Source organism: Homo sapiens, chromosome 5, assembly GCF_000001405.40.
Source record: "Homo sapiens chromosome 5, GRCh38.p14 Primary Assembly".
NCBI classification, from domain to species: domain Eukaryota; kingdom Metazoa; phylum Chordata; class Mammalia; order Primates; family Hominidae; genus Homo; species Homo sapiens.
Genome location: NC_000005.10, coordinates 124085377 through 124113291, shown reverse-complemented (window position 1 = coordinate 124113291; position 27915 = coordinate 124085377). Strand labels below are relative to the sequence as shown.

Below are 27915 nucleotides of genomic sequence, written 5' to 3'. Positions count from 1 at the left end.
TAAAATTTACATTTACATCATTAAAAAAAAAAACGCTAAAGGCAGTTATTTCATTTAACACTTTCTTATGGCATTCTATCACTCAGTATTGAACAGCAACCTTCTGACATAAAAGCTATTCCTCTCTTATGTCCTGAAACAGTATTCCGTAATGGACAACAACCTTCAAATATAAAAGCCATTCTGCTTTTATGTCCTGAGCCTGATGCCTAGAAAGCCTTTGCATTGCCAACAGAAGACCATGGAACTTGCACATTTAAAAGCAATTGAAAACATGTTTCATGATGGGTAAAGGCATTCAAACCCCTTCATAAGGTGGTTTTATGGAAAGTATTATGGAAACTTGAAATAATAGGGTTTGAAAAAATTAATTCTTTTCCTTTATGCAGTTTTCAAAATGATAAGGCTCCATTCATTTGTATGTCCTGTATCTCAGCTTTTACGAAAAAAAAGTTTTTAGAGTTACAAATGACTTCTGCAGTAGTTTTAACCATATCTTTTCCCAAGTTAAGGGAAAAATACAGTTTTAAAAGGGTATAATATAAAAGAAATTATACTGTTGATTTATAGTTATATGTTGGAATCTAAAAGTGAGATTAACATTATAAAGAAAAACAACTAGAAAAATTTTCACCATTGACAGAACTAAATTTATTCTCAACATCTTATAAATACAAAAAACTTTAAAAAGGCTATCTCTTACTTTCTTACTCCTTGTTTTCAAGTTTATGATTCAGCTCAAAACAAGTTAAATAAAATGAAATAAAATAATTCAACAATGGCAAAAAAAAAAATAGCAGTGAGCACTAAATGGTAATGAACCTGGAACTCTATTAAGGGTACCAATTCCACTGGTTAGGAGAGATCAAAATTGCTGATGAAATTTAAAAATATAGTAATAGAAATATAAATGACAAACATCACAGAAGATTCTTCCAATCAATATCATAGCATATGTTAAATGCATGTGTGAGAATGTCATTATCGAGGTAAGACAAGGATAATTGAATCTGTAAAAATAATGCTACTGAGTACTGCCAGGGACGTTACTGCAAGAGGAGTCATCATGCTAGAAAGCCCCCTGCTAGAGTCACTGCATAGTTAGGATTGCATTCAGCTGCAGAGAACAGAATCCCCTATTCAGAAGCTTAAACATATCAGGGTTGATATGCCTCATACAACATGAAATCTGCACACAAACAGCCCACAGGTGAGTCAGTGGCTCAATGGCGCAATCAGAGGAAGAGGCCTCTAACTTACTACTTCATCATCCCCAGCTTGTGACTTTTAGATGCCAAATGGCTGCTGCACTTAAAGGCATTGAATCTTTGTTCCCAGAAGGAAGAAGGAAAAAAGGTGAAAGAAAAAGTTGTGCCATCTAACAAGGGGTTTCCTTTCTATTTGATAAGGGTGTCTACCCCAGGGCTTCCACAGACACTTATGGGCCAAGACTGTGGCTCGGGGCCAGTCCTGGATGCAGTGGATTCTGGAAAGGTGATGATGTTCATCTTTCAGCCTGCTCAGCAGAGGAAAGCAAAGGAAAGGGAAGGCATGAATGGCTTTTGATTAAACAATCCATAATGCGCACCTCAATGCTAGGACACCACTATAAAAATTTTTACGAGAGATATTCCTGCTTTCTGAAAACTCCTGGTAATGACACTGCTGTGTGGGAACCTCTTACTAAAGGCATGTTTGTTGAGGACAGTGTTAAATAACAGATCTTCTGGAGGTAACTCCACTTGAAACAGAACTTATAAGGAGACTCTTGCTTGGATACCTCTGCTACTGTCATACCAGGAATTGTTGGGAACAGTTGAATTAAACACACATACACATACCTAGTGCTCACAAGGACAAATGTTAATTCTCAAGGACACTGCAGCCTGAACTCCTTCAGTGAATGAGGTGATTCTCCACACAATGGAGTTTTCAGTACTTCACATAATTATGGAGAGCAATATTATTTCTTTTCTTTCTTCCCTTTCTTTTCAAATTGTTACACTAAAGGCCTGCCAGGCATGAGAAAAGGGCCCACTGCTAAGCCATCTACCCATTAATGACCTCTTCTTCAACTACACAAAGACCCAGTCAAAGCTTTGAGATTACTGTTAATAAGTATTTGATTAAATCCTTAGCCAAGGGCCCTCCAACTCCTCACTTCTTGTCTGGGGGAGGTACACTTTTATTTCCCAAATTACATCATATTGCCCAAGTAATATATATAATTGGCTACCTGCTGAGTTAGGTTCAATTGCATCTTAACTAAGAGGACTCTTTGATAGCATTCAAAGTCTTGTAGTGATATTTGTCAACTTTGGGGCCGCCCAACATTTTCCTGTTTGAAAATTAAACGTCATGACATATTCATCTTATTAGAATTCAGAACTCTGCCCTTGGCAAAAGCGAGATAGAGTTCCGCGGTAATATTCAAAGTGCTAAACAATTCATATTGCACAGGCACCGACCAAATAGAAAAAACGCTGGCCTATATTCTGTACCAGTATTTACCATTTACCAACAAGCGTTCAGTATTAGGGTTGGGACCCCTACTTCTCCCACCTAAGGCAACTGGAAAGTGGGTTCATAACTTTGGTCTGCTAACTGGATCCTCCTGCCTAAGACTTTTCTGTCCGGAGTGAATGATAAAACAGCAGAGGGTGGTTTGAGTTCATCCAGGCAATAGCATTAGTGTCTGACAGGGACAGTAGCCATTTGTGGTCAGTGATCCTACAGCCAACCTACTGTGCCCAACATTTATTTGTGCCCAACATTTATTTGTCCTCACTAAACTATTCCCGCTGAAAAGATAATTTCAGGGCTTTCTGTCTCTTGGTTCTCCACAGCTGCCTTAGTTCCTGCCGTTTTCCAATCTCACTTCTCTCTGCCCATCCATTCTGTGAACTCCTGGCACTTTTTCAGCATGTCCCTTTTCTTGTAAGAGAAGCAGATCTTGTCAGTTTTTGGTCTTTCTACCAAGAATCCTGCCTGATAATTAACTGGAGACAGGCTTACATTGCCTGCTTTATGCTTCCTTTCTCTTGGGCCAACCTGGGTTTGCAAGGCTTTAGAAAGCAGGAGGAAGACCCACTCCTGTTGTCTTTAGGAAGAGATGGAAGGCTGGCTTTCTGTGCCAGTCATATGGATTTATAAGAAAGAATGTTCTTCTCCACTTCTCTCACCTCCTCTCCCTTAGTAACTATGAACAAGAAAGACCTGTGATTTTCACACTGAAAGTCCCACATCCTTTTGGGGAGACTTTATTTGATGTCTCTGTAGACATTAGAGTATATCATTAACAGCATATACTTTGCTTTTGAGGGTTGATTGGTTAGAAAATGTTTACCCAAAGTTTGTCTATTGTATCTTATTTATTAATCACAGGCGGTGTTCTGTTGGCACCCAAGGAGTTGTTCTTTGTGAAATTTATTTTATTTCTGTATTCCCCTCTTGTGATAGAATGGATGAATATATTTCTAAAGATTAAATTAATTTGAAATAAGAAAAATAGGGTTAAAATATATACACAAGCATAAAATTGGCCCACAAATTATATGCCAAGAAATCCTACACATTTATTAGAAGTGGGAGGTGAGTTCTGCAAGTCACTCTTACAGAATAAAGCACAGTGCAATATGCATATTAAATTATCAAAATCAATGTAAAGATTTAGGTAACAGATGTTTCCTTAAATAGACTGGGCAATTTATTTTCTTTCCCCCTACAACTAGATACCCAATAACTACCAGTCCTCAACACTGTATGAGCATTTTCCAGCACTATAAACTTTAGCTGTCTAAACTGCTTTGTGATTTAGTGATAGTAAAAATCATGAATTAAACTTTGTTTCTTCAATGTCTTTTCATATAACTCAGACATTCAATTCTCTTCTGTTTGATTTCTTTGAGGTTTTGGAGAGCCTAATAGATTATCATACCCTCAGAATCCTGCAACTTGAAGTTTATAAAATGTAGGCATTTTTGTTGTATTGTACTTAAGGATCTCCTGGTTAAAAGCTATGTTGAATTATATTAAAAAAAATCATTCTACTACTAAGAAGCAGTTGTTTATTGCAAAGGGTGTAATTTAGTCCAAATTCTACTTGCCTAATGATAGAAATTGTTGCAATACTCCTTCTTAGCAGTGTGCAGCTCTACGGTAGAGCTCCACAACACAAATACTGATGGTTATTGTGTATATCAGGGCAAGCAGTGCGAGCTTTGATATCAAGCAGCCACCACAAACGAGTTCCTGTGTGACATACACAGGGCAAATCACTTTACTCTCTGAGCCTAGGTTTCTCTGTCCATGGTTTCTTTACAGAGTTGTGTGGACTGAATTAAATAACATTATTAAATTACCTTGTACAGTTGGCAGGCACAGGGAAGGAGCTCTTTGCTGTTTTTCTCTTTTCTAATTAGGTAATGAAACAAACTCTTCAATACTTTACTTATACTTAACACTGTAGTTCTATTGTGGAGAGGCGTTAATTTAAAAAATAATAATAATAAGACCAAAACAAACAAAACTCAAAACCTGTCTTGTGAGTGGTATCATAAAACCTGTGCTGAAAATCTTCAGCTTTGATAGTGTAATTAATCTCCTCCATTAGAAATGTAAACTGGTTCCAACAATGAAATAAAAACTTCTATGAGTAATGAGGAAAAGATACATTGTAGCATGAAAACCATATCATTCTCTTCTTTGTGGACTTTAAATATGTTGCTTAACATAAGGTAGAGTTCTTGGCTCCTCCACATTAGAATCACATAGGAACCTTTTAAAGAACACTGATACCTGCACCCTATCCCTAGGGATCTGATATAAATGGTCTAGGACCTGCTTCAGGTGGTCTATCATGAAGCCATGGCTGATGCCCCACTACATATGTTTATAGTTGCTGACTCTCTTTCATGTCTCCCTCTCCCTATTTAATTGAAGGAAAACAGTCCCTCTCAGAAGTCTTTCTGCACACACATCTCTCCCAATAGACTGGGTGAGGTGCCTGTGCTATTTGCTTTCCTAGGACGCTGCACTTCTTGCTTTATAGCATGTGTGACATATATTATAGTTGTATCCCCCAACCACAAGCATTACTTCCCCATGGATTCAAATATTTTAGTGTAAGGAGCTTTCAAAGACGAGATGCCAAGGAGAGTGAAGATGAGGGTGAAGACGGGGATGGGATGGGGTGGAGGAAGAGGAACAGCTGTGGCAGCGGCAAAGGGAGAAGGGTGTGGAGGCAACTAATACTAATGTGTCTGGCATAGGAAAACAGAGGTGTGGGCATGAATTAGTTATTAATTAGTTTATGGTGCTGGGAACTATGTTTTATAGTCTGCAGAATGAACCCCACAGAGTGTCTCAAGACTTTCTGCGTTGGTGGTATCTATGTTTGTGGTGGGTCAGGACAGAATGAAGTTGGTAAATTTTTCATTACCAACCTAGGTGCCTCTCAATGCGTTGATTTAGAACCTTAATTAAATCTGCTCCACTTTGCGAAGGAGTCACCAGGGACAGCATCACTCTGGCTTACTGGGGACTTTGGTAGTCTATTTGCAAGTCAACTATTGACTCTACTTCATCAAGGGACTGAATTTTCAATGTCTCCATTTACTTATTTATAAAATAGTAATATCTGTAGTTAAGTTGTGCAAATCCAATTCACTGTTGGCAGAATACCCATAAAACTTCTGACAGATTCATTTAAAAAATGAATAACATTTTACTGATTTGATTGCAATTTAGCAGATACACACTTAACACTTCAATTATATTAATCAAAATGAAGGTTTTCATATGACAGTTTCAAGCCAACAGTCTCGGTATTTGAACCTATTTCACCCTCTTCATTAGAATGTACAGTTTAAGAACTGCAGTTGTAAAATAAAACTAGAGAACTCTGTTTTAGAAGCTTTTGTGCTTTTATTCAGTCTTTCTCTGCAAATGAAAGGGTATTTCTAATTTGTCCATAGAGAAGAATGATCCCCTTGCTCACTTCTGTCACTCTTGCCCTGTAGTGCCCTGCTAGGTGTTATTTCTGTGCACATTTATCTTGTTAACTAACTTAGAAGTTTTCCTAGGCCAGGATCCATGGAAAATCTTTGTGAATCAAACTTGGAAGTTGTGTTGGACTCCTCATGGCTCCTCCATTCCTATATCCAATCAGTCATAACATCCTACCTTTCTTTTTTAAATTTGGCCAATCCCTCGGCCTCATTCCCTTCTTACAACAACCATTCCAGTTAACCTCATTTGGCCCCAATAAAATTGCAACAGCCTCCTGATGGATTTCCCTGCTTCTGGTCTTGTCCTTTGACATTCATCTTTAGCAGACACCCCAGAAACTGATCTATGATGCAAATTATAAAATATACTATGGATCTCATTCGTTGCAAGATCCTTATTTGTTTTTCCTAATGAGTTTCTGCATTAGCTATTGTTTAAACAAAGGATTTGAAATTGAGACACCTTATAATCCCAGTTTCTTGGGCTGGCACAGCAAATTGTCAAATGGACCATTCAATCTCTTAGTTGGCCAAGGGAGCCTCCCAATTATGCTAGACTGCCTGTCATTCCACACACAGCTCCAAGACAGACACTTTACTCTTTCTCATTCCCATTGCCTGGAAGACCCTTACTCTCTTCTCTTTGCCTATTTCTTAATACCCTTCATCACTGAGCTTAGATACAATGTCTTCTAGAAAGCTTTGTATATTTACCACTCTCAGTATCTCAGACCAAGTCAGGCCAGGTCAAGCCAGGCAGCTCTCACCACACAGGTTTATGCCACTGGCTGCACTTGCCACAGTGTATTGAAGGCAATTGATGACACATCTATCTCTGCCATTATACATTTCTTAAGAACCTGAAACCCAGTTTTATTTCCTTCTATATCCCCAGTGCCTAATACATGGAGTTACTAAATAAACGTTGAATCAGGCTTGTTATTCACAGAGTCCAGCGCAGTATGTGGAGTTATTGTTCAATAACTGTTAACAAACATTTTTAGGTTTGTGGATTTTTGCATAATGTAAGACAGAGCTGTCTTGAAGGGTAGCAACAACTCCTCATCAGTAATATTAAATCCTAATCTGGCATCACTTGTTAGGAACAATGTGGGGGTTGATTGGAGAAGTTCAGGTTAATTTATCTCTGGTCTTTCCTACTCTAAGATAGTATGGGTCTTGGAATATTCCAAATTGAAGGATATTATAATCAGCTACCTTTCACATTAAGAAAGCATGTAAAAAAGAAAGCACCTGCAAAAGTGAACCATCTCTCTTCTCCTTGGACTATCTTTTCATTGCAACTCTCTGCTGCTTTTCAACCCACTGACATTTCTATTTCGGCCTTTGGTGGGCTTCTCCCAGCCCCTGAAATAGTGATATTCTCCTCTGCTCAATTTACCGGTTCTTTCAAGAGATTCCCAATCATTCTTCTGGCTTCAAACAACACCTACATATCAGCAATTCCTTAATCTATATCCTAACCCTAAATATCTAACAAAGCATAAGATGGGTACTTAAGTGTTCAAAGTCTTGCATGTCCTACAAGCACCACAAACTCAATATATCCTAAAATGAACTTTCCATCTCTCCCTCAAACCCTTCCCTCCTCATTTTGGTCCCTATTTTTGTGAATGGGAGCAGCATTCAATTAGTCACCACAGGCAGTTGTAACTTATTTCCTTTCTCTCATATCCTATGCCAAACTCATTTCAAAGCCTGTTGATTCTATCTCCTTAATACTTTAATTTCCTTACAGCGTTATTATGCCAGGGGCTGTGAACTGGTAATCTCTGATAAGATTCAACTCACAGACATGTGTAGTTTAAAATTTGGGTGTAAATACATTCAGGTGGGCATTCACTCCCCAGCTTGCCCCTGGCCTAGTCTCTCCTTTATTGAGTAATACCAGATCAGTCCCCACGGTTAGGGTTAGGTCACCTACCTGGTCCCTTTAGGTTTCCTCTGGCTCACATCCACATTATCTCTCCTATATGAGCAGTCTCTGGACACCAACACAGTGTTTGGATCACTCTACTTTCCTACTTAAAACCTGTCAAAGGCTTTCAATTGCCTAAAACAGTGGACTCAATCCATTCTGCACACATCTGCATCACCTAGGGAACTTAAAAAAAAAAATCTCATCCCGGACCAATTAAACCAGAGTTTCTGAGAGCAGGGCCCAAGTATCTGTATTCAGTTTTCCAGAGTAATTATAATTTGTAGCCAAGACTAAAGCACTGGTTCACAGAATAGATCCAAAACCCTTAACTGACCTGGTGGTTGGCCAGACTCCTGTCCACAGATGTGTCCCAGTATCATTGTGGGACATCTGCTTCCATCTGCTCTCCATTGACATCCCTGTGCTTCTCTAAAAACATGGAGTTGCTTCAGGCTTCTCTTGCAGCCACAGTCTATGCTTCCTTCTCTCTTTCTGTAAGCTACCTTTACTTCTTGTCTCCCTGGCAAATATCCATACTTTCGTAAGACCCAGCTCAGGCATCGCTACCTATGAAGCATTTCCTAAAATATCTATTCCCATTCTGGAAAAGCGACCTCTGCTTCCTTTGTCTTCCACAATGACACTGACTATACAGCTGTGACAATACTGCATTGCAGGACTTCTCAGACTTTACTGTGCACACAAGTGCACCTTTGCTAAATGCAGATTGTGATTCAGTTGGTCTGAGGTGGGGCCTGCCATTCTGCATTTTTTAACAAGCTCCCAGGTGAATCAACATTGAGTAGCAAGGCTTTAGAGGACTTACTCGTTTTATACCTACTTCTCTTTCCTTTACTGTATTTTTCCTTAGGGCAATGACCACATTCTAGTCATCTTTTTATGTGAGTTCAATGACTGACAGATAGTAGTCGCCAACTAAGTAATTATTGCCTGAATAAAAAGATACATGATTAAAAATATAAATGATTAAGTAAGCTTTGGATGGAGAAAATAAGGAAAGAAGGAAGGAAGACAGAAAGGCAGGAAGGTAGGTAAAGAGAAAGGCAAGCCATTATTATGAATGTCTCTCAATTCAGGCAAACAAGTACATCTTCTCAAAGGGCACATTTTTGCAGAGCCCCTTTCAGTAGTATTTTGACAATCATGCCATAATGATAATCTCCGAGAAAGAAGCTTCTTTCTGCTCTCCAAAGGAAATAGTGACAACATTTCTGAGAAAGAAATAACCTGGATTATGGAAATCAAGGTCTGTATAGCACAAGGTATTTTATGACTCTGGAGGAAAAGTATATGTTTCAGGAAAATGTGAATGGTAATAAGGTATATGATGATAACTCATAGCCAGACAGCTACATGGCCAGTATTTTTAATGAAATGCCTGCATTTTTCCTGGAAGAGTTACTCATTCACTTTGTGTTTATGTGGTCAGATGGGTGGCAGTGAGACAGAGGTGCAGTGAGACAGAGTCCCTGAGGGCACCAGCTTTCCTGCTTCTGTGTAATTTTTGACTGAGCAAATTACTAGCTATGTGACTTTAGGCAACTTACTTTATAATACACGTTTTTTTGTGTGTGCAACAGAGTACTATAACATCAGTATTAAAGACTTTAATAAAGATTAAAAGAGATACTGCATGCAAAAGACAGCAGAGTGTTGGGCATATTTTTTTAAAAAAAAATCTCTCTGTAATGTTAGCAATAGTAACTGTTAGGATACAGAAGTAAAATCACACTGATTCCTCATTCTATGTGGACACCTTGGGAGCACACTTTTTTTTTTTTGATACTGAGTCTCACTCTGTCCCCCAGGCTAAAGTGCAGTGGTGTGAGCTCTGCTCACTACAACCTCCAGCTCCCAGGTTCAAACATTCTCCTGCCTTGGCCTCCTGAGTAGCTGGAATTACAAGCGCCTGCCACCATACCTGGCTAATTTTTGTATTTTTAGTAGAGATGAGGTTTCGCCATGTTAGCCAGGCTGGTCTCAAACTCCTGATCTCAAGTGATCCACCCGCCTCGGCCTCCCAAAGAGTTGGGATTACAGGCATGAGTCACCATGCCTGGTCATGGAAGCACACTTCAGTCAAAGAAGTACAAGCTTTGGGGCCAGGCAAATCCAAATTCCAATACCACGTTTTGCTATTTATTCCCTGTACCATTGTAAGCAAATTACTTAGATTCTCTGAATCTCAATTTCCTCATTCATAAATTGGGCAAAATAGAATCTCTCTTGCTGAGCTGTTGCAGAAAAAAAAAAAATAGCCAGCATTATAAAGGTTTGATTTATTTGTTGAATTTGAAGTTGTGTTTGGAAAAGTTTAAATGTATCTTTCTTGCTACTTACAGCCTGAAAAATAAATGTATTTTATAATACAATGATATAATATACTATAATATACCATACAGAAAGTATATGTTCAATGCATTGTGATGATTTCAACTGAGGACCGGCTACTCTGCTAGTAGATAGACTAGTAACATATCCACGATATGTTAAAGACTAGTAGATAGACTGCTACTAGATATACTTGTAACATATCCATGATCTACAGTCCAATGAAGATCTCTGGCAATCTGAAGCATGAATCAGCAAACTACAGCCTATAAGCCAGATCTGGTCCACCCTTTGTTTTTGAAAATAAACTTTTATTGGAACACAGCCACACTCCATTTGTTTATGTATTACCCATGGGTACTTTCTTGCTAAAAGGAAGAGCTGAGTAGTCACGACAGAAACCATCTGCTGTGCAAATCCAAAAATATTTATTGTTTTACAGAAAAGTTTGCTGGCCTTTGATCTAAATTAATAAAACATATAGAAATATTTTTATAGGACAGAGAAATTATGGGCTACAAACCGGTTAATATTAAAATTCCTAAAATGGCTAATTTTATCTTTTTCATAAACAGATGTTCATCATCACAATAATCAGGAAAAAAAATTAAGCTTAAAATAAGAGACAATGTTCACCCATTCAATCTGCAAAACTAAAAAGTCTGACAATATCAAATGTTGGGAGGGTTTAGAACAACTAGATCTTTTATGTATTATGGGTGGATATACAAATGATACAACCACTTTGGAAAATATATTTCTCCTAAAGTTGAACACTCATTGCTTATGACCTGGCAATTCCACACCTAGATATATATTCCAGAGAAACACTTGCATATGTAGAACAGGATAATAAGATTGTGACATAGATGTTCACAATAGGGGAAAAACTCCTAACCTATGATCTAACAGGGGAAGAGTAGATGAACAAACCTCAGATATAGAATTACATAGTACTCAAAATAAATGCAATGCGGTGACATGTAAAAGATAACCTATCTTAGTAGTATTATATTAAGTAGAAAAACTAAGTTCCAAAAGATTACACATACCCTGATATACCTTTTCATAAAGTGAAAAATAATGATACAAAAATGTTTATTGTTTTAGGAATAAGGATGGAATAAAATCATTTAAAGAGAAAGGAAGGGGCTGATGATCAAGACATTCAAGATCATGTTTACTTTAGTCTCAGGAAGTCAAGGGGAGGGGACAGGAGATCACATGGTTATTTTGTTGTTGTTATTCTCCAGACCTATGCTTTTGTTTTAGATAGTGGAGTTATAGGTGCTTATTTTATTATTAAAAGTAAACAAACAACCAATTAAACAAGTAAAAGCTAGCCATGGCCATGTTGGACAACAAGAATATGTTGTGAATCAAAAAATTGTGGATATCTATTTTGTGCATTTAAATTTTAAAAAAACTAAAAATGAAAAATTGCTAGAGTATCGCATGGTTACAGTACTTTGAACTTCACAAATAGCAGCTTGCCACCTTCCCAGCTAAAGATTTATTAAAAATATAAAATATTTTACACTTGTATTTGTAATTGCCTCCCCCATACCTCCCAATGTCTTTTCCAATCTCATGCCAAAAAACAAACAAACAAAAAAAAAAACAAACTAAAACCAAGCAATACATACTAAAGTTGAGGGAATTCATGCAAAACCATGTTAATTCTTATGACTATGTTTGAAAGCATCTTTATGAACCTAAGTTAATAATGACCTAAGGTAAAATTGCCTGTATTCCCGACTTCTTTCAGATGCATGTCCCATAGGAAGCAATCAGAATAAGGTCATTTTAACATCTGTCATCTCAGTCAAGTGCAAGGCTAGGGTACATCAGTGGTTTGGTAAACATCACTGAGCAATGTGTCTCCTTCTGCCAATAATGACTTACAATGGCATTCTATCAATTAAAAATACAGACAATTTAGCTATTAGAGATATCAATAAATGCTTCTCATACTGATTACCTTAATTAAAGAATGTGGTTCAACTTTTCTTTTTTTTTTTTTTTTGAGTTGATATCTCGTTCTGTCACCCAGGCTGGAGTGTGGTGGTGTGATCATGGCTCACTCAGCCTCGACCTCCTGGGCTCAAGTGATCCTCCTGCCTCAGCTTCCCAAGTAGCTGGGACTGTGGCTGCTGCATGCCGCCATACCCAGATAATTTTTATTTTTATTTTTTATTTTTTGTAGAGACAGGGCCTTGCTATGTTGCCCGTGCTGGTCTTGAACTCCTGGCTTCAAGCAGTCCTCTTGCCTCAGTCTCCCAAAGTGCTTGGGTTACTGATGTGAACCACTGCCCCTTGTCAGTGCAAGTTTTTTTTTTTGTTTTTTTTTTTGAGACGGAGTTTTTCACTCTTGTTGCCCAGGCTGGAGTGCAATGGTGCGATCTTGGCTCACTGCAATATCCACCACCCAGGTTCAAGCGATTCTCCTGCCTCAGCCTCCCCAGTAGTGGGGATTACAGGCATGTGCCACCACATCTGGCTAATTTTGCATTCTTAGTAGAGACAGGGTTTCTCCATGTTGGTCAGGCTGGCCTTGAACTTCCGACCTCAGGTGATCCACCTGCCTTGGCCTCCCAAAGTGCTGGGATTACAGGCATGAGCCACCATGCCCGGCCATCAGTGCAACTTTTAAAAGTAATAAAATACTCCAAATGTCTTCAACTTGAGTTCAACAGAAAATTTAGCTGTACATGCTTGATTGGAAATTTTTAAGTTTCTGACAGCATTTTTTGCTTTCCTTTATATCACACAACACTATAGTATTTCACTTGTAAAAATGTTATTGTCTTTTAAAATAAATAGCAAATGTAATCATTAAGGCAGCAGGTCTAAAAACTAAATAGTGAATAGTGGCTATAAACTTGGATTCTACAGCTTGCCTGACTGAGTTCAAATCCTGGACCCACTGCCTACCAGCTTTTGATTTAACGCCTGTAATTTAACTCTCACCGCCTAGGTTCCTCATCCGTAAAACTGGATAATAATCAGGATACCTACTTAATCAAATGGTTGTGAGGATTAATGAATATATGAATATCTGTATGTACATATGCCTGTATTCATACATCTTTATATATTCCTGTACATATAGCTGTCTTAGAATAGTGTTTAGTGCTCTGTAAATATATAAGTGATTACTATTAAGTATATGGTTTCTGTTAGCTTCTGGGGCATAACTATAAAAAGAAATATAAAAATTGGAAAATGCCATTTATCAATACATACCAATAATGCAATGATAACATGGAGGTAGCGGAAAGAAACTAACAGGGCTGTTAACAGTACCTAATTTATAAGGCTATTATGAACATGAAATGAGGTAATACATGTTCACAGCAGAGAACCTGGCATATAAATAATACAGAGTACATGATGGCTAATAGTCTTATTTTGATCATCATTATTATTATTTCTCCAACTTCATCTCTTAACAGGTACCTGCAAAACCACTCACACATACATGTGCCCATGCATACTCCTTTGTGCACACACACGTAGACATGCACATAACCTCTTCTATCCAGATGGAAAACTCATACTATAGATGCAAAATAATTAAACAATAAAACTTTGGGTTCTTGGTGGACCAAGAACATGGGATGGTGAACAACAGAGGACCTGATAAAATATTAATGGCTGTTATGCACTAGAACTTTTTTTTAAGTTCTATTAAGCCTAAAAGTTGCTCTTTTCCTTATCAAAATATATGGCTAAAGCAATTTTAAAACTATGTATTTTTGAATAATGTTAGAATTTTAGAAATGTAGCAAAGATAATACAAAGAGTTCAGTATGCCCTTCGCCCAGGTTGCCTGACGTTAACATCTATATATCCATGATATATTTGTCAAAACTAAGAAATTAACATTGGTAAAATACTGCTAACTGAACCACAAACTTTATTTGGAATTCACCAGTTTTTCTATTAATGTCTTTTTTCTGTTCCTGGATCCAATGCAGGACACTGCATTGCATTTAGTATGGTTGATTTTGAATCAACCTTTTTCTCCTGTTTTTCCCTTCTTCCTTCAGCTTACCTCTGACTTTTCAGAACAGAAAGCACCCAGTGCAGAGAGAGCAATACATTCAGGTTGAAGAGGTCCTTCCAATGAAACAGACAGCTAAAACAAGTTTTGTGAAGTACCTCTATATTGCAGCTTTAGTACAAAATTTTACAACAGTCTGTTAGAAGTCTAGTTTGAGCAAAAGAAATACTGTTGAAATATGAGAAGTGAGAGGAAGTAATTTACTGAGTAATGCTAGGTATTATTTATAAAGTTTATTTAAATGTTTATGTGAAAATTTAGGGGTAACCAATATTAAAAATGAGGTAAGATCCACATCTTTTCAATGACAAAAGGACAAAAACAAGAGGAAGGGGAAAATTGGGGATCAAAGCTATAAGAAACAATATGACACACACACAAAAACAGTAAATGGAAAGAATCAAAGAACAGTAAATAGAAAACATAAAATGATATGGTCAGAGTAACCTAAATATATCAGCAAATCATATAAATATGACTTGAAAGTGGTTATTTCTGAAGAATGGGAAATATGTCAGTAGGGATAGTGGTGAGAAGGAGCAGTAAGAACTGCTGTTTTCCCTAACATACCTCATAAAATTTGTCGCTACTTAAACTGTATAGAAACATAACCTTGGTAAAAGTTAAAACACACAAACAAAAAGACTTAATAACAAGGACATGTGTGAAACTCAAATGGTTACATAGGCAAAGTCTGTTTCTAGGCATTGAATAGTCAATACACTGGATGTTTCTCTGTTATATAAACTGTTCCATGATGTGGAAACTGAAGGAAAACATGTTAACCTCTTTTATGCAGCAAGTGTCACAGGCACACACACACACCAGGCCAATCTTATCTCTTATGAACTAAGATGCAAATATCTAAATAAATTATTAGCAAACTGAATCCAGCGGAGTATTTTAAAATCACATTATGACCAAATAAAGTATGTGAATGGAATGTAAGGATGAGTTAACATCAGTAGATCTTTTGATGTAATTTGTCTGTTAACAGATTAAATAGATTAACTTGGGAAAGCCATATTATCACCTGAATACCTGCTTTAAAAATCCATTGGATAAAATTTGACTCTCATTTTTTTAATCTAAGAAGATCTACTAAGGGGGCAAACAAACACATTTTCTGAAACTAACAACTATGTGCCAGAAACCTACAATAAAATATTTGATAATAAGTCATTAAAAGCTTTCCTACTAACATCAAGATGAGCACAAAAATATCTACTATTACCCTCAGTTTTCACCATTGCACTCAAGGTCCTAGCCAATGTAAGAGAAAAAAATAGAAATATCAACTTCTTTGGAAAGGAAGATAATAAACTTTCAGTATTTGTGGGTGTTAATTTTGGACCTGGAAAACTAAAAATATTTTTTTAGAAGTATGTTAGAAATAGAGAAGAGGCCAGTAAGTTGTTGGATATAAGATGCATATATGAAAACAATAATTTTTTTATATATCAAAAGCAATCAGTTAAAATTATAATGAAAAAAGAGCCTATTCATAGCTGCTACAAAAATAATATTCCACGAAATATCCAGAAATAAACTTAACAAAAAATGTGTAACATATGTAAGGAATATCACAATACTTTACCAAATCACCTAAAAGAAAATTAAGCAAATTCAAATTCTTATTCTTTTAATTATTCATTCCCATAAAATTCTATATATTTAATGTAATTCTAATCCATGTTCTTACCATTTTGGTAATGGATATTGATAAATTTTTAAGTTTATATGAGAAAATATACACAACTAGTCTGTAATGTTTTGAAAATCAAAGAGAAGGAATGGTCCTTCCAAATATCAAAACATACTTGAAAATAAGAGTAATTAAAACAGTGTGATCTTGGTACATGAATAAATACATATATCATAAATGGAATAAACAGCCTGAAAGCAGACTGTGTATGTGGGAATAATTTTATGATAAATGTGGCATTTGAAACCAATGGGGACATGATGAAGTATTCAATAAGTGATTTGTGACAAATGGATAATACAGTTAGATATTTAGTTAATACACAAATATCTGATGAATGGAACAACGAAGCATGAGGAAATACAAGAATATCTAGAATAATAACAATTTTAAATCAAGAGATGATAAAAGACTTCCTAAGACAGAAAATCAGAAAATATGATAGATTTGACTGGATAAAAATTGTAAACTCCTTTACAACAAAAAATCATAAACTTAAAAAGCAAAAGAGATATTGAAAGGAACAATTTCAACATATTTAAAAGATAATGGACTAATTTACAGAATATACACAGAATTCCAAATATATCATTTAGAGAAGGAGAAACAATAGAAAAAAAGGTCAAAGAATTCAAAGTGCTCTTTGAAGAAGAAATACAAATGAATGGCAAACTTACAAACAATTCCTAACTAAGTAATCGCTAAAGTGAAAATTGAAACAATAATTACTTAATGACCTGCACTGTATTGGTTGATAGTATCCTGGCTGATGATAATGTGAAATAACAGATAGCTCCACAACATCATTGATACAATGAACAGCAATTTGGTAAACAAGTCAGCAGCTCTACCAACAGAGATTGTGACTCAGAAGCTCTCATGGTGAGAAGATACTTTTGTAATTTATCCCTTATATGACTTTTCAAATGTTTTCTGAAAAGCCTTTTACTCCAAAACTAGCAAAAAGGAAATTTGACCTCATAACTTCTATTCAAGCTAAGAAAATTATTTCTATACGATGTTGAAGGAAGGGAGTGAGAAACTTGTGTGTCTCTCTGACTACCTCTTTGGTGCAGAAACTATAGATTCAGGTTGACATCCACTGATAATTTTCTTTTCGTTTATTAGCTACAAATAATAATTTTTACCAATTTGGATGTCCTTTACTTCTTTCTCTTGCATGATTGCTCTGGCTAGGACTTCCAGTACTATGTTGAAGAGAAGTGGTGATCCTTGTCTTGTTCCAGTTCTCAGAGGGAATGCTTTCAACTTTAATGTGCACAAATCAGTAGCTCTTCTATACACCAACAGTGAGCAAGTGGAGAATTAAATTGAGAACTCAACCCCTTTTACAATATCTACAAAAACAAATACAAATAAAATGCTTAGAAATATACATAACCCAGGAGGTGAAAGACCTCGGCAAGGAAAACTACAAAACACTGCTGAAAGAAATCAGATGACACAAACAATTAGAAACACATCCCATGCTCATGGATGGGGTAGAATCACTATTGTGAAAATAACCATACTGCCAAAAGCAATCTATAAATTCAATGCAATTCCCACCAAAATACCACCATCATTCTTCGCAGAACTAGAAAAAACAATCCTAATATTCATATGGAACCAAAAAAAAGCCTGCATAGCCAAAGCAAGGCTAAGCAAAAAGAACAAATCTGGAGGCATCGCATTATCTGATTTCAAACTATACTATAAGCCCATAGTCACCAAAACAGCATGGTACTAATATAAAATTAGGCACATAGACAAGTGGAACAGAATAGGGAACACAGAAACAAACCCAAATACTCACAGCCAACTGATCTTCAACAAAGAAATCAAAAACATAAAGTGGGGAAAGGACACCTTATTTAACAAATGATGCAGGGATGATTGACAAGCCACATGTAAAAGAATGAAACTGGATTCTCATCTCTCACCTTATACAAAAATCAACTCACGATGGATCAAAGACTTAAATCTAAGACCTAAAACCGTAAAAATTTTAGAGGATAACATTGGAAAAACCCTTCTAGACATTGGTTTAGGCAAGGATTTCATGACCAAGAACCCAAAAGCAAATGCAATAAAAACAAAGATAAATAGCTGGGACTAATTAAACTAATTAAACTTAATTAAACTAAACAGCTTTTGCACGGCAAAAGGAAGAGTCAACAGAATAAACAGACAACCCACAGAGTCAATAGAATAAAGGAAGAGTCAACAGAATAAAGGAAGAATCAACAGAATAAACAGACAACCCACGGAGTGGAAGAAAATCTTCACAATCTATACATCTAACAAAGGACTAATATCCAGAATCTATAACAAACTCAAACAAATTAGCAAGAAAAGAACAAACAATCCCACCAAAAATGTGCTAAGGACATAAATAGACAATTCTCAAAAGAAGATATACAAATGGCCAACAGGCATATGAGAAAATGCTCAGCATCACTAATGATCAGGGAAATGCAAATCAAAACCACAATACAATACCACAGAATGGCCATAGTCAAAAAATCAAAAAATAATGGATATTGGCATGGATGTGGTGAACAGGGAACACTTCTATACTGCTGGTTGAAATGAAAACTAGTACAACCACTATGGAAAAGAGTGTGGAGATTCCTTAGAGAACTAAAAGTATAACTACCACTTGATCCAGCAATCTATTGCTGGATATCTACCTGAGGAAAAGAAGTCATTATACAAAAAAGATACTTGCACACACATGTTTATAGCAGCACAATTAGCAATTGCAAAAATGTGGAATCAACCCAAATGTCTATCAATCAACAAGTTGGATATATATATGTGGTATATATATATATATATATATATATATATATATATATATATATATGTGTGTGTGTGTGTGGTATATATATATATATGTGATATATATCTATATCTATATCTATATATATATATATACACACATACATACATACACACACAATGGAATACTACTAACCCATAAAAAGGAATGAATTAATGGAATTGGCAGAAACCTGGATGAGATTGGAGACTATTATTCCAAGTGAAGTAACTCAGGAATGGAAAACCAGACATCATATGTTCTCACTCATAAGTGGGAGATAAGCTATGAGGATGCAAAGGCATAAGAATGACATAATGGACTTTGGGGACTCAAGGGGAAAGGGTGGGAAGGGGGTAAGGGATAAAAGACTACAAATTGGGTGCAGTATATGCTGCTTGGGTGATGGGTGTGCCAAAACCTCACAAATCACCACTAAAGAACTTACTCATGTAATTAAATAACACCTGTTCCCCAATAACCTATGGAAATTAAAAAAAATTCTTAGGTGATGAATTGTCACGTGCAGCAAACCACATGACACATGTTTACCTATGTAACAAACACACACATCCTGCACATGTACCCTGGAACTTAAAAAAATAAAATAAAATAATTTTTAAAAAACCAAAGTAATAATTTTCTCTCCACTTTAATATAAAGATCTGTGTACCTAAAGTTTAATCAAGAATTTCTAAACAAAAGGGCTGTAAAGCAGAGGTTTTTGGGGGTTTCTCAAGATTTTCCTCAGTGCAAAGATAGAGGTTATCTCTTAGCAAGGACAAGTTACGTAGGCATATTTCACCTAAAAATAGTGATTTAGGCATATTTTACTTAAAAATCACATTCTATTGTCTTGTCTGTTTCCAAATGTCTCATTTTTACATAGTGCTACTGATTGTTCCAAGAATTTTTCCTAATAATTGATTTTAATAAATGCAGGTCAAATGTTTCACTGACTTCCACATCTCCAGTGCTTGATAGAGTGATTAACAAATGTTTGTTGAATATGTGTTAAATTGATGAAAAACTGAATGAATGAGGAAAGGAGGAATAAAACCTTAAACAAATTGATTTATCAAATATAAGTATATAAGGATATACATATTCACATATATCTCAAAATATTAGTTTACTATGTTAGGTGAACCATATATAGTTTATTCCTTATTTATCCTCTTTGAAAAACAGATGTTAAAGAACTCCTTCAGGCATTGTTAAAGATAGCTCTCTCTCAGGTGCATCAAAAGGAAAACTGTCAGGCAAGAATTCTCATACCCAAAGTGGGCAGATTAGTTGAGCAGTATTCCACAGTGTCAGGAATCATTATATTTTATTTCTATGGTCTGAATGCTTTTGTCTCCCTGAATTCATATGTGGGAATCCTCACTCCCAAGTTGATGGTATTAGGAGATGGAATCTTTAGGGGTTTATTAGTATTAACCTCCAGAAAATCAGTATTATGGTATTAATTCCCTTATAAAAGAGGCTCAAGAGAGACCTCTTGTCTTTTCCACCACACGAGGTTAGAATGAGAAGACGGCTGTCTATGAGGAAGTGAGCTCCTGTCAGACACTCAACATGCCAGCCCCTGATCTTGGACTTCCCAGTCTCCAGAACTGTGAGAAATAAACTTTTGTTGTTTAGAAACTACTCAGTCTATGGTATTTTGTTACAGCAGCCAGAATGGACTAAGACAATAGAAAAGCATCTCTGATTACTTTACACTTAATAGATTTCATAAATTACCAATGTGAATATGTCTCACATTGATAAAATACAATAAAATACAACAGATACTTTTATCTTTTCTCTTACTTATTTGAAAAATCTTAATGAGGGAATATTTTCCTTTCATAAAGCAGCACTGACAAAGGAAAATATGTGAAAAGCAAACAACATGAGTTCTCATGGTTTTATTTTAAGATAACTGTGAAAATCACTCAGAGAAAAAGGTGGGTTTGAGTATATCTCAAATCCTTTAGCTTTTAACATTCTAAGACCAGGTGACTACCTCAGTTACTCAGACCAATTAGTAATTATTAGATTAAAATCTACATATAAAGTTTACATTTAATTGTTCAACCTTGTCCCCAAGGAACCATTCTCAGTATTTAGCCTAACAGTGGACCAATATTGGATCAGTCCTCTATTTGAGCTCCAACTTGAAAACCCTGGATTAATTTCTCAATAAGGATATATCTCTCTTTAGGAGATAGACCAAATTTCTGTCATCTAGAAGAATCTGGATTCTAATTTAAGGTTCATTGCTAGTTTGGTACATGGCTACTGAGCCTTGGTTTCCTGCCCTAAAAAAAAATGGATATGGTGACACACGTTTTAGAGGCATATTGTGAGCATTTACAGTGTATTATAACCGCAAGAAGCTTTGTAGATCTTTGGATTTGAACATGAATTTTGAGATTAGTGTTCTTGTTCTCAGCACTGTGTGGGTTGCAGAAATACACAATGGCTAAACAGACTCACTCCAAACCCACCCCACCAATGGAATCATGGAAAGTATCGACAGGAGCAGCTTGTGTCATTAGTTTATCTTGACACCTATTGGCCCATAAACAATCCCATTTGTCCATGCAATACTGAAATTCATCTGAAAACATTAGTGACATATCGGTGACAGATTTTAGTTCTGAGAAACTCTATAAATAACTATTGCTTAAAAAAAAAGACTAGGTGTCTTTGAGGAGTTTTATCAAAGAACCAGAATCCAGCCATTTACTTGTTGTACCAGTCCTAGCATTTTCCGGCCTTTTTTGGGTCTAAGTCACCCCTAAGAAATACTCATCAAGTTGTTTTGGTCCATCTGGGTAGGTTTTTAAAATATATGCTAAGCTAAAGTTTAAGATTAAGAAAGAAATAATTTTAAAGTTATTTCAGAAGTTTTGTAGGTCAACTGCACAGAAAATTGAGTATTTAAAGTCAGCATTTAATTGAGACAATAACATTCGAAATGGTCAATGGTTATAATTGTTACTTCAGTAGCATTGATTGTTAAGAATATCAAACTTTAATAAGAATTATCTATAGGGCTGTCCCTTAATTAAATAAAATTATATAAGCAATAAATGTATAATCATATCTCTATTAATTTATAAAAATTGTATAATTTGTTAAAGGCATGTTTCACTTAACAAGATAGATGAAGGCAAATTAACGTCATAGAGTTATATTCCCAATATTGACAATACATAGATATTTACTGAGGTGTTATTTTAATATTAATAAGATTTGGATTACATATGCAATGATTACATAATCTGGGATTTGTTACAAAGTAATGAGACTCACCTTTTAAACAATACACAACACCAGAGTTTTTAATTCTATTGGACGTTATCTACATCTGGTCTAGTTATAGCACAATGTTTTAGGAGCCTGTTCTCCCAACCGAGACTGTAAAAATGCACAATACCTTTTTTACCTTAGCCAAAAAGCACATGTAACTCTAATAACTTCTAATCTTTGCATAACAATACAGTATGTACAAAGTACTTAAAAATTCTTAATTAAAATCTTGTCGTACAAACTTTAATGAACACACAGCATTATTAATCATAGACGTGGCACAACCAAAATAAATGCCCCTAATAAAATGTATCATGGTCTAATAATTCAGAAGTATTATTATGTTGCTTTTATAAAATCTGGCTTTGTTCCATTTATTTATACATATTATATATACATACATAACATGATATTTATCATACTACTTGTATTCTCAACCTCCTTTAAGCTACCTGTAAAGTTATTTAGAGATTCAGACTTACTCATCTCTGCAACTCTGTGGTTTCTTGAACAGTGTCTTCCAAATAATTGGAGTTCAGTGTTTATCTGTTGAATTGAATAAATGATTCAAACTATTTAGGAGATGAAACTGCACATGTGGTTGTCAAAGCAAAGTTAAGCATGGGCTACCTTTTGATCGGTGCCTACATACGTGTATCTTTTATGGGTAGATTCTATTTTTATTCCTTTAACATTAATTATATCTGAGGCAAATCTGAAGGTACACTTTCCAGCGGCAGCCATGAATCATTCCCAACAGTATGTGTTTGTGTATGTGTATGTACAGTATCTGTGCACACCTATAAAATCCTGCAGCTCTGCTGGTTCCTGCTAATGTGGACTCTGAACACAGAAGAAATGTTATTTCTAGAAATCAAACTGCAGAGTGAGTGATTTATTTGGAATTCATGCTTCATTTCCATACTATTCCTCTAATGTCTAAGGTATCACCTTGTATAAGGTGCTGCTTCCTCCCATTGGTTGTCAGACATTCTCTTGAGACTGAACTCTGTGATAACTGCTTGAGGGAAAGTTTCTCAAAAGTAAAAGAACGTGCATGTAAGACAGAGTTGGGGGGCAGGGGATGGAGAGGAAAAGAAAGAATTTATAAATGTAACGGGCAGAATATTTCAGATTAAATGAAAGACTTTCCTTCTTTTGTGTGAAAATACACAATCAGGTTGATTTAGGTGAAGATCCTCAGCTGAGTTGAAGGAGCCTTTCTGTTTTCTTATTGTGTAAAATTTACTAGCATTTCATCATCAGCCATTCATTTCAGTCACAGAATCTGAACATGCACATGCTTTCATGTTATCTGCCCAGTAGGAAGGTGATTACCATAAAACTGAAGAAGCAGCAGCAAATGGAGTGATTATAAAATGTATCACGTTCTTCATAAGATGAATAATAATGCACACATCTAATGTCACCTAAGAGGAGAGGGTGGTGTTAGCACTAGTCTTGGTGGACAGATTAGATTATTTGGCAAAGAGTGAAAACAGCAATTGAGGCTGTTAATGCAATGTACTCACATCCTCTTCACAAACAACATGTAAGTGTTATTATTAAATATCTGCTCACCTCTCTTTGCCAGCTTTTTATCTGTTTATATATAATCCTAGCGGTTTTCTCCACTGAATGGCACAAATCATTTAGCAAAAGGCTCTTAAAAAAAAGATGTAAGCTACCCTAGATTTGGCACAAAATTGTTCCGTGTTTCCATTCCTGTGGAATAATATCAAGGACCCAAACTAGGACAGGCCCCTTTAATGCACAAAGTAAACAGAGGCGAAAATCTTTTCTTAATAAAAGCTGTGGTTCAGCTATACTTACTGAAACCAAATAAACAATCGCGAATTGACACTCAGACAGAAATGTGTATAAATTATTCAGAATGAAATGTTCAAGTAATATTAACCTAAAGGTATAGTCATCAATTTTGTCTTGACGGATGGCATTGGGTAGTTAGTATTCAAGTGTTACTACATAAATAAAATTGATTTATGCTAACTGAGAAAACTGAGAAAAATTTTTATCAGGATGCCCAAACTCTGTTCCTTCTGGCTTGATCAATCACCTCTCTACTGAACTGTGTATCATTTTCTTGCAAAATTCTTAGCTGAGAAATTGGGCTAAGGCAAAATGAATAATACATTCACTGCAGTGTTAGACTAATGACCCTTAAGTGCTTTTAAAAAATGAGCAGCAATGACTGCTTCCCTTATGAACAGATTTTCTCTCTCTCTCTCTCCCTCTCTTCCTCTCCCCGACCCCCACCTCGCTTTTGCTCTCATTCCCTTGCTCTCTCTCTCTCTCAGAAAGAAAATAATTAAGTCTTGAGTGGGCTGACTGTTTTGGAGGTAGAAGCGATGAGAGGGTGAGAAATCAATAAAGCCAATCGAAGCATGCATGGAGTGCAACCATTTGGTTTCCTTTGTTACTCCCTCCCCTCATCATCTTGCTTCCTCCACCCCACCCTGCATTTTGCAGTCCCATTTCAGGTTGCAAAGTTCTCATTTGTGTTAATCATTTTGATATTTCCTTTTACTGTTTTCATAACGCTATTGTGTTATCATAAAGACATTGATCAAATGGTGACAGGCAAGACAGAATGCTATTTACTTTGTAAAAGTAGGAGGGATCTCTGACAGGGCTGCATGGTTAAAATCTGCCTTGGCTGGCATTTCTGATACAAGAACAATTTTTATCACTCCCTGAGTGGGTCCCTAAAGAGACACAATAGTGACTCAAGTTTCTGTACCCAAATGTCTTTTTAAAATCTGTATAAAGCAGCAAAGATAAGACAAATGCATACATTAAACATGTTTAAAAAGGAGCTTGAGCAAGGATAGTTCAAGAGAAAGGCAAAAATTCTGGTTGAAAAATGTTGGATTATTTGGAATTAAATTGCTCTAAAACCACTGAAACAACACTTGAGGTAGAAATCAAGAATGTTTGGGTTTAGAAAGGAAGGGGGGTACACCCACCATTTTCTCGTGTGGGTGTGTGTGTGTGTTAGTCGAGAATGTAATTGTTAGACAGCTACTGACAATAGAATTGTTCTGTAAGAAAGGAGTCATTTACAAACTAGCATGGGGTCAGGTAACCTCATTATTCCCTTTGCAGTTCCCATTAGGTCAAAATAGCAATGCCCCTACCATCACTTTCATCTTAAGAAGCATGGGCTAGTTTTGCTCTTTTAACTTGAGCTTTTTATTCTAAGGAAGGATTAGATTCTACATAGTCACTGTTTCTTTTTCATTTCATTGCTATTCTATCTTTAGGGGAAATCAGCCTCACATTGTGTTATTCTTATGTCCTTAAGTAATGTTTCTTTCTTTAAAAAAAAAAAAAAGATGAATCCCTTTCAATAAAGCGGCCCCAGTTTGATGGAACTACCAAAGTGAAAAGAAAAGAGAAAAAAAAAAAAAAAAACTGTTACTTAAAAAGGGCCCATGGCATTACAGCAGTCAAATCCCTAAAGTCTAATGGTGAAGTCATTGATGCATTATTATTCTTAGGCACCTCTTCTTTCAAATAAAATGTAAAGGAAATGATTTAAAGTCTAAAGGATGTCACTGGGCAGGAGCTAAAAGAGATGCCTTCTATTCCCTAATGCTGAAGCTAAGAAAAAGTGCACCCTAATGTATAAGGAATGTATCAGGCCTCAGAGTCAGATTTTTCCAAACTAGAAGCACTCATTTACAAGCAGACACACATGCACACAAAACCAGTCAAATATGCACACATTGCCTTTCAGATGGACCCACTCCCAAACCTTCCCGGGTTCCACTGCCCTACTTTTTCCCTGTGGATGACTGAGAGAAACATATTACCAGGTATTAAATTGGATACACAGTAAGACCTTCTAGCTAATAGTAACTTTGCAACTGACACCCGCCATTCTGCAGAGCTACATAAATATTTCTGAAATGCCTGTTTCTTTCTGCCGCCTTTCCATTTCATCTGTCATTATGGTCTAATGATTTTATTATAAAGATGAGCTTCTCTATACAGGTTAAATGAATCCAATTTACATATAATGATATCATGGGAGAGGGTAGTGGTAGAGGAAAGTGGTTGGAAAGAAATGGTTACCACTAGTAATTGACTTACTAAAACTCCATCCAAAGTGCCGGGAAAAAAAAAAAACTGCTCTGGTAAAGTTATTACTGGCAAAAAATCTTATTCATTTACTGATATAAGAAAGTATAAGTATTATCCAATTTGGATAATAGTTTTCCATTATAATACATTATTAAAAGTCAGTTTTATTCTGGGTTCCAAGCACAGAATTTTTGGGCAAAGATAGACTCAAACAAGTCACCAGTTGCCATATACAGCTGGCTATGGCAAAGCTAGGTTTTGGGGAGTGGGAGGGTAGGAGAGAACAGACCTAAGCCTTCACAGCTTTTTCTAAAAATCTGACACATCTCAGCATTTCTAGGTTTTGTTTTGTGATTGCAGTTTCCCAAGAAGGAGGAAGGTCAGTGTATCTTCTAAGCTTAGGAGGAATGGGTTGTTTATTCCAAGGTTTTAATTCAATTAAATCGAATTAACATGAATTAATATAAGTCAATAAAATTACAAGGGAAGGCTAAATAACTTTCATTATTATCATTGTTCTTATTTTATCAAAGGAGTGTCCTCAATGAGGATCTTGTGTAGTAGTGAGTGTCCTGTCTTTTTAGGGAGTAAGATATTAGTCTGTTTTCACATTGCTGAGAAAGACATACCCGAGATTGGGAAGAAAAAGAGGTTTCATTGGACTTACAGTTCCACATGACTGGGAAGGCCTCAGAATCACGGCGGGAGGCAAAAGTGCTTCTTACATGGCAGCGGCAAGAGAATAAATGAGGAAGAAGCAAAAGCAGAAACCCCTGATAAACCCATCAGATCTCGTGAGACTTATTCACCATCATGAGAATAGCACGGGAAAGACGGGCACGCATGATTCAATTACCTACCTCCCTCTGGGTACCTCCCACATATGGGAATTCTGGGAGATACAATTCAAATTGAGATTTGAATAGGGACACAGCCAAACCATATCAGCCCCTAACTTGTAAAAAGAAGGTGTGCTTCCCTTCCTCATATGGGATTTTGAAGCTAGATGAAGTTTGATGGAGAGATGGGCTGCCGGTAACTTGACCAATGTCTGTTTCAGAAATAAGCTAGCAGTCAAACATATCTACTTCCCCACTTCTTTGCCACTCCCATCCCACCCCATGCAGAGATGTTCTGTACTGAAAGCAACCTCTTGGCAGACAAAATTATATATCTTATCTTATTTTAGCTTAATATTTCCCAGAAGGGAATTATAATAACTTCTAGTATTGATAAGATTTAGGAGACACCTTAGGCTTAGCAGCAAAACTCTTACAAATCATTCCCAGGAGCTTCAGTTACTTCTCTGTGAGGCTCATCTTTGCCATTGTGTTTTGATGGTCATTGGCTTCAATTTCAGAGATGTTTTAACATCTTGTTCCCAATTCCAGGGGCACTCACTATTTTGCCTTATATTTTTCCAATTTATAGACACACATGAAACTGTTAGAATAAGTGAAAGAATCAATGGAGGGCTTTGTGAAGCTTGGAGGCAGAAAGAATAACATCAGAAAGCATTGTTGGTACTATTTGTGGATCAGGATTCAGCGCAATGTTGTTAACTTCCACATGGCTTCTCCAGTTGAGATAACTGCAGCTTCCCAC

At 36.2% G+C, this 27915-nt stretch overlaps 1 long non-coding RNA gene across 1 annotated transcript in view, besides 1 other annotated feature; it reads left to right on the top strand.

Moving 5' to 3' along the window:
- Positions 1–27915, top strand: part of LINC01170 (long intergenic non-protein coding RNA 1170) — a 378727-nt gene that overhangs the window by 325229 nt on the left and 25583 nt on the right. The gene's annotated exons all lie outside the window — the stretch shown is intronic.
- Positions 24994–25744: an enhancer, noted in NCBI's record as "OCT4-NANOG hESC enhancer chr5:123423241-123423991 (GRCh37/hg19 assembly coordinates)". NCBI's record gives its function as "activates a minimal SCP1, AML or CMV promoter by ChIP-STARR-seq in naive H9 embryonic stem cells {active_cell/tissue: H9 hESC(naive)}" and the evidence as "EXISTENCE:reporter gene assay evidence [ECO:0000049][PMID:30033119]".